Source organism: Homo sapiens, chromosome 16 (genome assembly GCF_000001405.40).
Source record: "Homo sapiens chromosome 16, GRCh38.p14 Primary Assembly".
Taxonomy (NCBI): domain Eukaryota; kingdom Metazoa; phylum Chordata; class Mammalia; order Primates; family Hominidae; genus Homo; species Homo sapiens.
This window is the reverse complement of record NC_000016.10, coordinates 47,570,028-47,587,246: the sequence shown is the minus strand read 5'-3', so window position 1 is coordinate 47,587,246 and position 17,219 is coordinate 47,570,028. Positions and strand designations below refer to the sequence as shown.

Below are 17,219 nucleotides of genomic sequence, written 5' to 3'. Positions count from 1 at the left end.
ATGAATGTAAAAGAATACTGGATTAAAATATGAAGACAGGAGAATCTCAAATAACAATAAAGCAACTAATCTGAACAAATATTCACCACATCAGGCACTATGCTTTATGTGTCACATGGATTGTCTCATTTAACATCCGTATGTAGATATTGTTTTCCCCATTTTACTGAAAAGGACATTAAGACTTACTTTAACAGAGTAAAGTTTCAAAATCAAGTCTCTGACACAGAGGCCCATTCTTTAAACACTAGATTATACAATTCCCCCATATATATATTTTTTATACAATTCCCCCATATACGTATATATGCACACACACATATATATATTTCAAGTAAGAAAAAAAAAAGCTTGAATGAAACAAATAGGTGTAACAGAAAATCTTAATCTATCTGCTAACCAGGTTAAAACTAGTGCATTCCATATTCAACAGCTTTACTGGGGAGCTAAATATTTGAAATCACATAGAACTGGATGGGAATAAGGAGAATACTCAGAAAAATACATGGGGAAAGGGAGAAGAGAATTATAAATTTCATGTTACTTTAATACTATTTTCTGAATCTCATCCTAATTCTCAACAACTTCACAGATGCATTCAAACTGAAACAAAAATATCTCCAACCAATCACCTACACTGAACTTCAAAATCTAGCAGCACCAGACCCCATATCCAGATGTCAGATTCACTAGAGGTATTTTTTTCCTAGTAGCCCATGTTTGTACATGAAAATTAGCTCATAAAATAGAATGATTTCTCATTCAGAATATCATTTTAAAATCTTTTTAAAATCTGACAAGTAAATTAATAAATGAACAGTGATTCGGTGAGGCTGTCTCTCAACCACCAGATGAATGGTAAACTGTCCTTTCTGTCACTCCGGAGTTCCAACCTCCCATCTCTACTGGTTCAGCAGCAGCTGCCGCTGGCAAGGTACTGTGCACTCTGCTTTCAGGAAAACAGACAAGATCAAATTTGACCTGTGCTCTCAAGAAGCTGACCCAGGCAACAGTCCTGAACAAGATTATTAAGAAAACAAAAAGGCAGCATACCACAACACATGACTTAGTTTCACCAAAGTTAGTGGTTTAAGGGGGAGAAGAAAATTATAAAACAAGTCCCCAGGGAAGTTGGGGCACTTCATAGAGAAGGTGAGGACCATAGCTAGGCTCTGAATTTTGGTGAAATGGGAGCAAGTAGGGTAGTTAGAACAAAACAGCAGAGAAATAAATGGATATAATATGTTAGGAGCCTATGAATACACAAAAAATAGGAGCTATAATTTATCTTTAGGCCAAGAATTAATAAAGTTAATTGCATACCAAACTATCTGCCTGGAATTAAATTTTCAAAAGATACAATCTAAGTAGGATAATTTATAAATAATGAAGTGAAATGGCAAATTTGGCAATTCTCTATGTTACTTGATTAATGTAAACAGCCAACTTCTATTTTCTGGCCGTAAATAAATGGCTTATTTGTCTAAATTCATCAAAGTATTTATTCAGCTCTCAATTTTTCTCTGCCAACCTAAGAAATATGCCCAAAGGGAAAAATAATCTTATAATGTTACCATATTTTAACACCAAGACCAAAGGGTGATTAACTATATTGTTTGGCTGTCTTCTTACAAAAATATCCCATGCTTTAGGCATTACGGTCCAGATTTCCAGGAGGGTAAAATCTCCCCAGGTCATGGGCAGCTATTCCCAATCCAGAAGCAAGTCTTTTTAAGAGTCATCAAGGAGAACCCACAAATGGAATTAATTATCACCTACTTTAAATAATCAGACACATTAATTTAAGGCCTGCAAATTTCAAAGGAAGCTAGATGTCTGCACTGCTTTGAACACTTTGCATAACATGAGCAATCTCTCTAGTCATTACCTTTTAGATTCTGGTCTCGGCTCATTTGTCAGTATCTTGATTTCCCCAATTAAGGATAGGAATATGAAAGGATGTTTTATATGTATATGTCACTTCAGAGTATCAGATTAACTTTGGATATTTTATTTTCATCTTCCATTTCCTGAAAACATTATAATTCTGCCATAATATCCTGACTCCACCTAAAGAGCTTATTTTAAGACTGACAGCTCAAACTTTACTCCCTAGCCAAGTTTCTATAATTGTTTTAGTCTAGTAAATGCACTGGGACTGGAAGATGATTCTGAAACCTGACCACTGTCATGGGGACTTGAGTTCCAGTGGTGGGGAAGGGCTGCACTGCACTTCCCTTAATCCCATGACCAGAACAACCACTTTTGAGACAGTCCCTAAGGCCAAGGGTACCAACTGTAAACATAAGACTTTGCTGATCTCACTGGTCTCAATTAAAAAGAAAACAATTTGAAGACTGATCTTTCTTTTCTTCATTAATCACTTCTCAGAGCCTGAGCTAAGGGACTTGCTGCCCTCATCTAGACTCAAAAAATAAAACAAGGTACAACTGGTCATTGGATCTACCTATCGTACATGATCTTCACATTCTTATTCTGGAACAAAACCACACCGCAAAACTATGGTCAGGAGATTTTCTCCCCTAGTTCAGTTATGAGGCTGTCACTGAGCTCTGTAGCAGAGCCTGGAGAAATGTATTCTTCCGGAAAGGGTATTTACTGATAGGAATTTCCCTTCTGCACCAAGGCTGTGGTGGCAATAGATGTGTAAATAGCCAACTTTTGCTTACTGACCCAACAGCTCTTTCCAGCAGCCCCTCTCACAACCCAAGCTTCTTCGTCCTCATGCACATACTGTGAAAGGAATTCTCAAACTACAGAGAAAGATAAATTTGAACATGAATTTTCAGGGTCTCAAAAGAGCAGAGCTGAGACTCAAACCCAGGAATCACAAAACTGTTGCTTACTATGACTATGACATTTGATGAAAATAAATTCTGATAGACTAAAATATTACTGTTTAAATATTATCAAACATTATTTAAATAATATTTAAATATATTTGTCATGAAATTTATACAGAATATATTTGAGATCATGATGAAATATGTGATTCCCATATTGAGGATTATATATGTTTCTAAATGTAGCTCTGCCCCAAATTGGCTTTTATTGTAAACAAATCATTATGGAAACTAGGCCTTTTTATCACATCTTATTCTCAGTGTCCCAAAGAAAAATAAATTTGGAAAATAGTTTCAGAAAAAGATTTAAAGTGTTTTTTTTTTCCTTGAATAATAAGTTATTATTGGAAAAAAAGGAGGAAGTATAGGAACGCATAATAATCATAACCAAAGCAAAAAACTTTACCACCCAACAACTGCCCGTAAAAATAAAATTAACATTTGTTTTATCTCATATGCTGAAGCCAGGGGCAAAAGGCAAGCCTTTCACACTATTTGTGAAATGGATACCTCTTTCAGAAGCTCAATAATTATTAAGCAAAAAACAGCTTAAGAGTTTTCAAAGAAAATGCACAGCTCCCAATTCTAAAAGTAGAAAGTGTCCAACAGCTGAAATTTCCCATACCAACAAATTGATCTTCTATTAATAGATTCATTATGGAGTGGCATTGGTTTTACTCCTGGTTTTGCCCCTGTGTGGTGTGATCTGAGAAACACTACCTCAATCTTCCGATCATTCATTTTGAGAGAGGGGCTCTACCATCTCTCTTGAGTTGCCACCAAGAAGGAATGTACTTTTTGAAAGTTCTAATTAATTTAGTTAAAGACACACGATCAGGTCTTCCAAAACCTTATACCAATGGCCTTTAGAAATAACAGTGAATATCAATATGATCTGAAATCCCTCAAGTCTTGAGGTGGTTTCTATGGATTTTCATTTGAATAAAAGCATTTCTTTATGTCAATTCTTTTCCCAGCAACTGACTTTTAATTAGATCACAGCTCTTTTAAGTATATACAATGACATTATAAAATGATTAAACACTAAAAAGATCACATGCACTTTTAAATGTGCCACTGTTTAGCAGGCACATTATTAATTTAACTGCTGTAGAGGTGGTAATAGTAACATTTTCAAAGTCATATTTCTGCAATTCTCCACATCAGAAAAAAGAGACGAAAGGGAATTTGTAAAACAAGGACACTGACACTACCTTGTAAAAATGGAAGATGAAGGGACTTTACTGGCAACATGTGATATTCTTGTGGCTAAAGAAATAAGACATGGCCCGGCGTGGTGGCTCATGGCTGTAATCCCAGCACTTTGGGAGGCCAAGGCGGGTGGATCACCTGAGGTAAGGAGTTCAAGACCAGCCTGGCCAACGTGGTGAAACCCCACCTCTATTAAAAATCCAAAAATTAGTCGGGTGTGGTGGCACATGCCTGTACTCCCAGCTACTCGGGAGGCTGAGGCAGGAGAATCGCTTGAACCCAGGAGGTGGAGATTGCAGTGAGCCGAGATCGTGCCACTGCACTCCAGCCTGGGTGACAAGAGCAAGAAGCTGTCTCAAAAAAGAAAGAAAGAAAGAAAGAAGACATTATCTGTCCATATTTCTATCTGAAACAATCAAGTAGTAGTCAATTCAGCAAATATTTGGTGCATAGCTCCACTGGAAATAGACGTGACCTGAACAAGGCCAAAAATTAACTCGGCTTAGAGCAGTTGTTCTCGCCCTTGATTGTATATTAGAATTCCTGAGAAGTTCCAAAAAATCTCAATGCCAAGGCCTCCCCCTACACCAATTAAATCAGAATCCCTGGAAGTAGAGCTCATATATGAGTATTTTTTTTAATTCCTCAAATGATTCCAATGCATAGTCAAGATTGAGAAACTGGCTGAGGAACAATATCAGCAATACAGTTATAACTCAGAATCCAAATGCAGAGTAAAGTAATTTAGCGATTTTAGAATTATAGCTGAGCAATTTATGAAAGCTTCCTGGGAAAAGTAGAGCACTGAAAGATGGGTAGAGTTAGGAAATGTAGCTTGTATGTATGTGTGTGAGTATACACACAATAGGAAGGGGTGCATACAGGTATGTAAGCAACATACACTAAGACTCAGGTACTTCAAAGGAGATGACACTATTGCAAAAAAGAGCTGGCTACTACCATGTAACAGCCAACCAAGAGACACTCAGCTCCATTCAGCTCAGTATTTGGTATGTCACAGAAGCCAGGTTAGCAAGACCTGTACCTTTCCAGACTGCTGTTAACATCAGCTCTGGTTTAATCCATGCCTCCTCTCAGTCTCCTTGATATATGCTCTAGAAAGCTTTCAGTTCTTTCTCATTTCCCTTCCTTTGTATTACTATTACTTCATAAATAATAGCAACAAGAGTCGGCCGCGCATAGTGGCTCATGCCTGTGATCCCAGCACTTTGGGAGGCCGAGATGGGTGGATCACCTGAGGTCAGGAGTTCGAGACCAGCCTGGCCAACATGGTGAAACCCCGTCTCAACTAAAAATACAAAAATTAGCCGGGCGTGGTGGCAGCCGCCTGTAATCCCAGCTACTCGGGGGTCCGAGGCAGAAGAACTGCTTGAACCCGGGAGGCGGAGGTCGCAGTGAGCCGAGATCGCGCCATCGCACTCCAGCCTGGGAGACAAGAGCGAGACTTTGTCTCAAAAAACAAAAATAAAAAAAACAATAGCAACAAGAGATGGCATTTATTAAAAGTTTAATCTCTGCAAAGCACTATGCTAACTAACTTTTATTTGCATGAAAACCTCCTGAGTTAGGTCCTATTATCATTATCTTTATTTTTTTAGACGAGGAAGCTGAGGCTTAGTTAAATAGCCATACTCACTGGTGGAATTGAGTACAGAGCATGCAGTGATCCTGTCTCCTGACCCCTAATATAATGCCATTCTTTAAAGTCATTTTATCCTCCTACTCCTGTCTGTCTATCTATTCATCCATCCATCCATCCATCCAGGAATATGAAAATGGGTGATCCAGAGTGTGTGGTAATTCCTCATGACCTTCATATAGACAGAGCCCATCCATCCTCTAGAGGGAGTTGGGATGAGAAGAGTGCTTGTGTACGTAAGAAGGAGAAGAGAGGTGGCTGCATTAATATACTACAATTAAAAACATTCTTAAATTCAAGACTTGAGTAGATAGTATTATAATTGCCATAACAAAAACCATGTCGTTTTTTTTGCACAACTGTGTAACCTCCTAAAATGTTTCTTTACTGACTTAGCATTTCAGTAGCTTAGGATTAATTTTATTCTCAGTTAGAAACTTCACTTTACTTCACCATCTTAGGAATCTTTATAAAAACTGCTAAAGAAAATTGGCCTACTTCTTGATCCAGAGTAGTAACCTCTATTCCTACATTTTATTCCTTTCCACTGACAACTCAATCCATGGTCACTTGATTAGATTCTTTCAGTATAAAAACTGGTTAAAGATCTAATGAAAATTTAAGACGACCTTCAGGGTTTTTTTTTCATCCCCAGAGAAAATGAGATTTTAGACATTTGATTATAGCCAGTTGAAGGTGAAGCTAGGATCAAAACTCCCAATTATCTGGCTAAACACATCACACAAATTCTCTTCTACATGAGATATACATTGAAATACATTACATTGAAACCAACATGAAAACTGACATAAAAATATATATATACAATGCCAAATACATTAAAAAATGTGAAACCTTCTACAAAATGAGTAATAGATTTGAGGGAAAAGTCACTGAACCAAGGAAATCAGAATTCTTTATCAAAAAAAATTTTCTTTTTTTTTTTTTTTTTAAAGAAATTAAGCAATGGTCTTTAGTTAGAAAACTAAAATTTAACTGGCAAATCATTTTCAAAGGAAAAGTTCAAGCATGAGCTTCTACATAAATTTTGGACATTCTCTGATTATAAGGAAATGACTTTGTTAATGAATAGCCAAATTAATTAAATGTGCAATTCAAATAATCAAAGATTCTGGGGGTCTTATTTTTTACCTGGTTGCCAAAAAGGTTGAATCCATTAATTGCTTCTAGAGCTGCTTTTGCTAAACCAACCGAGCTAAAAGAGAAAAGGAAATGCTTTATTACTCTAATGTATGTGGCTACAAAATCAGAACCATTATCTGATGAATATTCACGAGCAAATTTCTTTATTAACATTTATAACAACTTCTGTAAGAAGAATAATGTCTAAGAGACCTCATTCTGACATTTCACTATTTTAATTTTTCTTTTTTATAGTTAGTGATCACCTGGGAAAAATATTTCTAGGTTCACCTTGATCTAAACTAATGGTCATACTATTGATGGGAGTAGTTTTAATTCCAGAATCATTTTTATTCACTAACTCAAGAAAAAAAGACGAACTTTAGAGGAAGGTATATTATGATGATAAGTGCAGTAATTAGCAGGAAATCATTAGTTCAGATCAATGTAATGGAGCTTTTCTGACATCAAATCTGAGTCTTAAGAAAGATCTTGCATATCATACAACTATCAGAGTGTGGCTTAAAGTATCCTTCAAACACTCTTGCCTAACATCCAAAAAATAGGCATTATTTTATGCTCACAGAACAACTGATCACCTTATCTCTTATTTTTTGCTATATTCTTCCCTTTATAATAAAATGAATACTATTTCCCTTAGTGTCCTACTCTTTTGGCCTCTCAAATGCCATATACTATAGTGCTGGAAAATGGGAAGACCCATTTCATTAAAAATATGATATCATCTTTTAAGTATCTACCTTTAAATATTTTATATCTAATACTCAGTTTAATTATTACAAATTTTTATTTGTTTTACTCAAAGCAAGTGTATTTGCCATTAATATCATTTAAAGCTAATGATCTGTCATCTATTCAGCATTTCTCTGAAACAGATTATCAAACTATGGTCCCCAGAGCAGCACCTTCAGTATTACCTGGGAACTTGTTAGAAATGCTAGTTCCCATTTCTTCTTGGGAGTAGGGCTCCATAATCAGTGTTAAAAAGCCTTCCAGGTGTTTGAATGCACTTTAAGTTTGAGAGCTACTGTTCTAAGCTATTCATGTCATCATCATCTACATCCTATAAGTTGTTTCATAACCTGTTTTTAAGAAATCATCACTTTTATTGCAGGACAATAAATAGGTCAGACACTTATTTTAAAGATACATGGATGGGAAGATGGAGTAGACATAATTTTCCCTAGTCTTCTCACTAAGTACAACCAAGAAGCTTGGACATTACATATAAAACAAACACAAAAAGACTTAGAAACATGGGTAGAAGGCAGTCTAGCTATGAACTTCAGGACTCTATGAACGACACTATGGTAACTGCCCTGGGTTTCCTTTTTGCCTTATTTATACCAGTCTTAAAGTCAAAGGAGCCAACCACTGAGAAATGCCAGCACATGCATACAAAAAATCCCCAACAAAAGCCTGTCTCTCTAGCCAAAGGACAGGAGAAGAGCAGCCTAGCAAAAATAAAACTTTTAGACAATAACCACTCAGAAAAAACTTTACCCTACCCCCATCCATTCCAGCAAAGGCTGAGTAGAAACCGAGACTTCTACATTCCTGAGTCTATCATGAGGCACAATGCTCAACTCCCAACTCTCTTAGTCATGGTGGTGTCAGAAAACTACAAGGAAGAAGTCAACACTTTCATTTCCAATAGGTGATAAGAAACCATTTCATCACCAATCAAGAGGTCACACCTTTTCTCCTGCCCTATAAATGGAGGCCAAATGAGAACCAGTAATGAAGCACTCCTATATTTCCCAGCAAGGAGGTATTAGTGGAGGCCTACTGGGGACCTGGATGTCAACAAAAATAATGGCCTTATATTCCTACCTGGCAGTAATGAGGTGATGTGCCCTCACCCCTTCTTCTACCAGAGTGGTATAAGAAAATACAGCTAAAACAGAAAGTTAAAATAAGATCTAGGGTCTTATACTATTATGCCCAAAATACCTATACGTCAATCAAAAAACACTCCTCATACCTGGAAACTGAAAGATCTCAAACCAAATGAAAAAAATACAATCAATGGATGCTAACGTTGAGAAGAAAGAGTTGTTAGAATTATCTGACAAAGATTTTAAAGCAGCCATGATAAAAGTGCTTCAATAAGCAATTACGAACATGCTTGAAACAAATCAAAAAACCAGAAATCCTTAAGTAAGAAACAGAAAGTATCAGCAAAGTTTTTAAAATTGAGAAATATAATAGTGTAAATAAAAAGTTCAGTAGATAGGCTCAACAGCAGAATGATGAGGACAGAGGAAAGAATAAACAAACTGGAAGACAGAACAACAGAAATTATCCAATTTGATCAAAACAAAGAAAATAGAATGGAAAAAAATGATCAGCGCCTCAGGGATTTGTGGGATCATAACAAAGTATCTAACATTCATGTCACCTGAGTTCCTAAAGGAGAGAGACAGAGGGCAAAGCAGAAAATTCCCACTTAGCAAGAGCCATAAACCTACAGATTCAAGAAGCTGAGTGAAACACAAACAGAATAAATTTTAAAATGTCCATGCTAAGACACATCGTAACTTCTGAAAATTAAAGACAAAGAAAAAAATCTTGACAGTAGCCAGAGATAACACATTACCTATAGGGGAAAAATAATTAGAATGACAACGGATTGTTTATTAGAAACCATGAAGGCTAGGATGTGGCACAAGAGTTTCCAGTGATTGAAAGAAAAAAACTACCCACTCAGAAAGTTATACCAGTAAATACATCACTTAGCAATCAGGAAGAAACCAAGACAATCTCAGATGAAGGAAAATAAGAGATTCTATCACCAGCAGACCTACCCTGAAAGAATGGATAAACTCCATTCTCTAAACAGAAAGGTAATTTTTTAAAAAGAGGAAAAAACATATATCAGAACACCAAAAAGAAACAAAAAACATGGTAAGCATAAATATGGGTAAATACAATACATGTTTCTTCTCCTCTTGAATTTTGACAGTTGAAGCAAAAATTATAACACTGTCTGATATGATTCTAAATGTGTATGGAGGAAATATTTAAGATAACTATTATAAATTCAGAATGGTAATAAGACATAAATGAAAGTAAGTTTTCTATACTTCATTTGAACTAATAAAATGATGACATCACTACACTGAAGTGTTACCTACAGCAATCACTAAAAAGTTATACAAAATGATACAATCAAAACCACTATTGATAAATCAAAAAGAGATTTTAAAAAAATCTTTAAGTACCCACAGGAAGGTAGGAAAAATAAAACAGAAAGATGAAAAATAGAATAAACAAACAAAAAAATCAATAAAATGGCATCAGCTAAGTTAAGAAAAGGTGGAAAACAGTTAAAAATAACATTAAAAAAGACAAATAAAAAAGAAAATGGCAGACTGAAGCCCAAACATATGAGAAATTAATTAAATTTAAAAGCATGAAATACACCAATTGAAAGAAAGAGATTTGCAGAGTTAAAATATGGCTCACCTATGTATTGTCTATAAAAAAGTCCCCTCAAATATAACAATATAGACATGCTTAAAGTTAAAGGATGGAAAAAGATATATCACACAATCAAAATAATGCAGGAGTGACTATATTAATAATAGATAAAGGAGACTTTAGAGCAAAGAAAATTATCAGAGACAGAGAAGGATATTATAATACATAATGAAAAAGATCAATCCACGAAGAAGACATAGCAATCCTAAATGTGTATGCGCCAGAGTTGCAAAATGTGTGAAATAAAACTGACAGAACTGAAAGAATAGACAAAACCACAGTTATAGTTGGATACTTGCACACTTTTCTCCTTTTCTCTCAACAATTGGTAGAACAACTAGACAGAAAACCAGCAAGGATACAGAGGAACTAAATGAGCATTGACATTCAAAATCCTTAAAAACACATTTGCAAACAATATTCAGCAATATGTAAGCTGAATTATCACCATGACTAAGTAGGGTTTACTCCAGGGAAACAAGGCCGGTTCAATAATAAAAACCCAATTAATATAATTACCATGTTAACTGGCTAAAGCAAAACAAAATAACATGGTCATATCAATTGATGCAGAAAATGCATCAAACAAAATTCAACATCTATTTATGACAAAACTCTCAGAAAACTAGGAATAGAGGGAAATTCCACAATTTCTTTAATGATGTGTCTTTCTTTTAATCTATAAAAATTTAAGGGGCACAAGTGCAGTTTTGTTACATGGAAATAGTGCATAGTGATGAAGTCTGGGTTTTTTTTGCTGTTGTTGTTTTGTTTTGTTTTGTTTTTTGAGACAGAGTTTCGCTCTTGTTGCCCAAGCTGGAGTGCAATGGCGCGATCTCGGCTCACCACAACCTCCGCCTCCCGGGTTCAAGTGATTCTCCTGCCTCAGCCTCCTGAGTAGCTGGGAGTACAGGCATGCACCACCACACCCGGCTGATTTTGTATTTTTAGTAGAGACAGGGTTTCTTCATGTTGATCAGGCTGGTCTTGAACTCCCAACCTCAGGTGATCCGCCTGTCTCGGCCTCCCAAAGTGCTGGGATTACAGGCATTAGCCACCACATCAGGCCTGGGCTTTTAGTGTAACCATTGCCTGAATAATGTTCATTGTATCTATTAAGTAATTTCTTATCCTTCAAACTCTTCCCACCCTTCCACCCTCTCCAGGCTCCAATGTCTATCATTCCACACTCTATGTCCATGTGTACACATTATTTAGCTCCCACTTTTAAGTGAGAATATATAGTATTTGACTTTCTCTTTCTGAGTTAGTTTAGTTTTACTAAAGATAATAGCCTCCAGTGTCATCCATGTTGCTATAAAAGATGTGATTTCATTCATTTTATGGCTGAACAGTATTTTTTTGTGTACATATACACATTTTCTTTATCCAATCATCTGTTGATGAATACGTAGGTTGATTCATATCTTTGCAATTGTGAATTATGCTGCGATAAACATATGAGTACAGGTTATCTTTTTGATATAATAATTTCCTTTCTTTTGGGTAGATATCCAGTAGTGGGATTACTGGATTGAAAGGTAGTGCTATTTTAAGTTATTCGAGAAACCTCCATACTGTTTTCCATAGAGGTTGTGTTAATTTACATTCCCACCAACAATGTATCAGTGTTCCCTTTTCTCCAAACCCTTCCAATATGTTAGTTTTTGACTTTTTAATAACAGCTATTCTGACTGGTGTAACAATATATCACTGTGGTTTTAATTTGCATTTCTCTGATGATTAGTGATGTTGAGCATTTTTTCACATGCTTGTTGGCCATTTGTATAAATTCTGCAATTTGATTTACAAAACTTCTACAGCTAACTCTACTTGATGGTGAAAGAAAAACTGAATGCTCCCTCTCAAAACAAAAATGTCTGCTCTCACCATGACTAACATAGTACTGGAAGTTCTATGTGGTAAAATAGGGCAAGAAAAGGAAATAAAAAGAATATAGCTGAGAAAGGTAGAAATGAAACTGTTTCTTTGCAGATGACATATGCTATGATTTGAATGTGGTTTGTTTGATCCTGCCAAGTCTCATGTTGAAATCTGATCCCCAATGTTGGAGGTGTGGCAAGGTGGGAGGTGTCAGGATCCTCATGAATGGCTTGGTGTCATTCCCATGGGATTGAGTGAGTTCTTAGTCTGAGTTCCCGTGAGAACTGGTTGTTGAAAAGAACCTGGCACCTATTATTCCCTCTCTTGTCATGTGATTTCTATACTCCAGTTCCACTTAGTCTTCTGTCCTGAGCTTCTTGTATATACAGCCTGCAAAACTGTGAGCCAAATAAACCTCTTTTCTTTATAAACTACCCAGGCTCCAGATTGGAGGCATTGTTAGCATGCCTCACCCACTTGCAAAGAGCAAAATAACGTGCAGAGATTTATGCTGTAAACTTTTATCCAAGAAGAAACACAGTAACTCAACAGAAAAAATGAAAGAAACTTCAGACACTTTGAAAGCTGTGGGTGGCAACCTACATGGTGAGTCAGGTGAAAATATGTCTCCAGGGTGTGAAAGCGGGGAGACTGCCTCCATGATTACACATTGACACTGGGGAACTGGGCAATCCAGGCCACAGGGGAATGTCTCAACCCTACCAAGCACTGGTGCTGATTTGGTGAGCCACAAGGAGCATATGAGAAGTGATGGCTCATGCCTGTAATCCCAGAACTTTGGGAGGCTGAAACGGGTGGGTCACCTGAGGTCAAGAGTTCAAGACCAGCCTGGTCAACATGGCGAAACCCTGTCTCTACTAAAAATACAAAAATTAGCTGGGTGTGGCGGTGCATGCCTGTAATCTCAGCTACTCAGGAGGCTGAGACAGGAGAATCGCTTGGACCCGGGAGGTGGAGGTTGCAGTGAGCCAAGATCGCACCACTGCAATCCAGCTTGGGCAACAGAGCAAGACTTCACATATAAAAGAAAAAAAAATTGTTTTGCGTGCACTCCCACACCCTAGCAGGGATGGAGGGAAGCCATTGCTGATCCTACTTCATAAGGGACCTCACAGAATTCTGCCAGCTAACTCAGACAGTGGTCACAGGTTGGAAGAAGCTGCCAACTAAAATAAGCAATCTAATCTACTGTGGGTATAAACCCCATTGATCAGAAATGAGAGGTGAGCAGGAAGCAGGCTTTTGCCACAGAGGCAGGTGCTGGGAGCCCCTGCTTTGCAGGCAAACTGGGAGGGGTGTGGCCTGGAAGCCTTGGTCTTTGTCTTGGGCAGAAGGACTTACAACCAGGGGCAGTTTTGCATGCTGAGGGCAGACTGCCTGGGACCCAGCTGTTGCCAGAAGTCTGTGAGTGTGAGACCCAATGTGTTAAGAAAGTGAGAGCTGGGTGGGTCTCACTGCTGCCTGTTACCCCTCTCCCCTCCCTGAGGATTCTTTTATGCAACAGAGGCAGTTCCGCTCCTCCGTGGAACATTACCCCAGTGGCCAGGGAACTGCCCTCGGATCGCCACTGGGGTCACAGCCTGAGTCCACACCTGGTGAGCCAGAGTGAGGACTTGCCTGATCCAGGCCCCACAGGCTATGCCCCTAGCCTAACACCACAGACAGGGACTTTAGGGAGTTCCATGACCCTGCCCATTGCCTGGGATATGAGTGTTTCCCCAGGGTAACATAAGCCAAGTATAAATCCCCAAGGCCACCACTGTAGCTGGCTCTCTCCTGCTAGTGCCACTTCACTGTGAATCCTACTGCTCCTCTGAATTTGTCTATCCTGTGCAGCTGTCTCAAGCCAGTCTGGTATTGGGGGCTGTTTACAAGGGATCTAGTGATGAGAAGACACAAGGGTTGAAGGTACTTGAGCAGAACAAACTTCTGCAATGGGTACGCATCCAGTATGGTGCCCACTCCTACAGCTTAGGACCAGGCAGAAAGGGAAAGGACCTTGTATGAGCAAGATAATGGCCTCAACAAGTCCCTAAATTGTAGTTGGAGGTCAACTGACACAGCCCTCTACAATGTCTGCTAACATCATAACACGGTGCTCAGGAAGGAGAAAACTTTTGCATGACCTCAGCTAACACTATTACTCACACCAATCAGGCTGCTCAGGAGGCCTTGGGCCTGTTCATGTACCCAGTACATTACTACTACATCTGACAATTGAGAAAGCCACTGCACTAAGGCTACTTATAACCAAGGAAATCTTACAGAGTCTATGCCACTCCCCTACTGCCACCATCAGAGTTGGTGCTTGAACCTGCCCTTATGAGATGAGAGGACAGGTCAGCCTTGCCCAGCTCCACCCAACATCACCCATCTCTGGAGCTAAGAGTAGGGACCAAACCATTACACATTCCGCAGACCTGTCCATAGCCTGAAGCACTAAAGAGCTTCTCCAGAGCTTCTCCAGATGGTTGACTATAGATGCTAGTAACCAATTCACCTCAGAAGAAAGAAACAAAATCATAAATAAATAGTCACATCCCAAATAGAGTGTTACAGGGAGAGGGCTGGAGTCCATCGGAGAATTCACTGGAAGAATCCACAACATGCACATAAGAGAAAGTAACAAGAAGCTGGAAGAGTATCAAACCCTGAGAGACTCAAGTATTCTGTGGAAAGGGTATTCTCTAGCCTTTGACTGCTGGTATCCAAACTCAAGGAGAGCTTCGCTGCCCTCATGAGTCCAAATGCTGGAGTGGGCTGCAATCTGGGGACTTCTTGGGTCCTTGCTCACACAAAGTCCCCTCCCTTTCCCTCTGGTCCTGAGCTGTAGTAGCAGGCAACATACTGGGTGTGCACCCATTGTGGATCATTTGTTTTGCTTGAGGACCTTCAGCCCTTGTGTCTTCCCCATGACTATATCCCTTGCCAAGATTCTCCAGCACAGGCCTGGATTGTGGCAGTCCCTGAGGTGGCTAAACCCAGATAAGCAGCTGGATTCACAGTAGTCTGGCCCGCATAGATCACCATTCCCATGGGAATGGGGAGTGCACCACACAAAGGGAACACCCCTTGGGACAAAAGAAACCAAAGTATGAACCTTGAGTACCACAACTTCCTGCCTATGGGAAGTTTCTTTCAGCAGAGGAACAGGTGCAGTACTGGGCTCCGTGGGGAAAGACTAAGGTTCTACTCTAGCAGTGGAGGAGCCCCGGTACTTGTGAAGGGGCTTCTCTCCCTCTTGTTCAACAACGCAGATACAGCTGGGCCTTCTCCCACAGGAGCTCAGTGAGAGTAGACCTATGGAGGACCTTTCTCAAGCACTTTGGGGTGACTGCATCGCCTTGGGAGGAGTGCCCTCTGGGCTCAGGCTTTCATGAGAGATAGAGTCCCACTGTCTCTGGATATGGAATGTCAGTGTTCCTGCAGATGGACAGAGGTGCTTGTCTGATCTAAATGTCCAGAATATAGGGATGAGGGGGAACGACAGGGAGGTTGCTTTCCTGCTGGCCTGGTAGTGAAGCTGAGGTGGCTCCCTCCCCTCCCACAGTGAAGACCTCAGTGCATTTCACTGGGAGCTCCCTGCCCCCAGCTGCCTCTGTCAAGGTTGAGACTTTTGTCCACCACTGGGGTACTGCATATACCCACCACCTGCTTCAGCTGCAGCTGGTTTTCACCCATGGGTGCCTCCTACTGGCCTAAAGGCTGAAGTATTCTACCCTAGTGAAAAAAAGACTTGGGGAGGAGAGTAGTACACACTACTGGGGAACAAGATAAGCTTCCTGAGATCTCTGCCACTCTGGCCCCACAGGAGACAGTGAACCTTCCCACACACTAAGTACACTACTACTAAAACCAGCACCTGAGAAAGCCATCACACACAGATTCTCTATAACCAAGAAACTCAACAGAGACTTTGCCACTGAAAGCACCCAGAGCTGAAGCTAGGTGATTACAAATGATACACATTAAAGTCACATCCTTAACGGGGGAAAAAAAAAGAACCCAGTCAAATCAAAAGTAAATTCAATAATAATAATAAAAAATAGTTTATCCAGATGGGAAGAAACCAGAAAAATAATTCTGGCAATATGAAAAAACAGTTTTATTTACAATACTACCCCCTCCCCAATACATACTAACTCTCCAGCAATGGATCCAAAACAAAATTAAATCTTTGAAATACCAGATAAAGAAGTCAAAATATTCATTATAAAGTTACTCAATGAGATCCAAGAGAAAGTTGAAAACCAATATAAAGAAATAAAAAAAAAATACAGGATATGAATGAAATTTTCTAGAGAGGTCGATATTAAAAAAAAAACAGAACTTCTGGAAATGAAGGACTCATTTAGGGAGTTACAAAATGCAGTGGAAATTTTTAACAACAGACTGGATCAAGTAGAAGAAAGAATTTCAGAGTCTGAAGGCAAGGCTTTCAAATTAAACCAGTCAGACAAAAATTAAGGAAAAAGAATACAAAGAAACAAATAAAATCTCCAAGAAATACGGGACCATGTAAAACATCCAAATCTAAGAATCAAAGTTGTTCCTCAGGGAGAAGAAAAAGCAAAAAGTTTAGAAAACCTACTTCAAGGAATAACTGACAAAAACTTTCCTAATCTTGCTAGAGATTTAGACATCCAAATACCAGAAGCTCAAAAAACTCCTGGGAGATTCATTGAAAAAAGGAGATCACCAAGGCATATGGTCATCAGGCTATCTAAAGCCAATGCAAAGGCAAGAATTCTAAGGGCAGTGAGATAAAAGCATCAAATAAATGATAAAGGAAAAACTATCAGACTAACTTCTCAGCTGAAATCTTGTAAGGCAGAAGGGATTCAGGTCCTATCTTTAGTCTCCTCAAACAGAAGAGCTGTCAGACAAGAATTCTGCACAGAGCAAAACTAAGTTTAAGAAATGAAGGCAAA

At 38.8% G+C, this 17,219-nt stretch overlaps 1 protein-coding gene across 3 annotated transcripts in view; it reads right to left on the bottom strand.

Annotated features, from left to right (window-relative positions):
* The window catches only part of PHKB (phosphorylase kinase regulatory subunit beta), a 240,225-nt gene that overhangs the window by 114,277 nt on the left and 108,729 nt on the right, over positions 1 to 17,219 (bottom strand). For all 3 annotated transcript variants that reach the window (NM_001363837.1, NM_001031835.3, NM_000293.3), the window contains one exon: positions 6,889 to 6,952. In NM_001363837.1, coding sequence (NP_001350766.1) covers positions 6,889 to 6,952 — 64 coding nt within the window. The remainder of the gene's footprint in view (positions 1 to 6,888; positions 6,953 to 17,219) is intronic.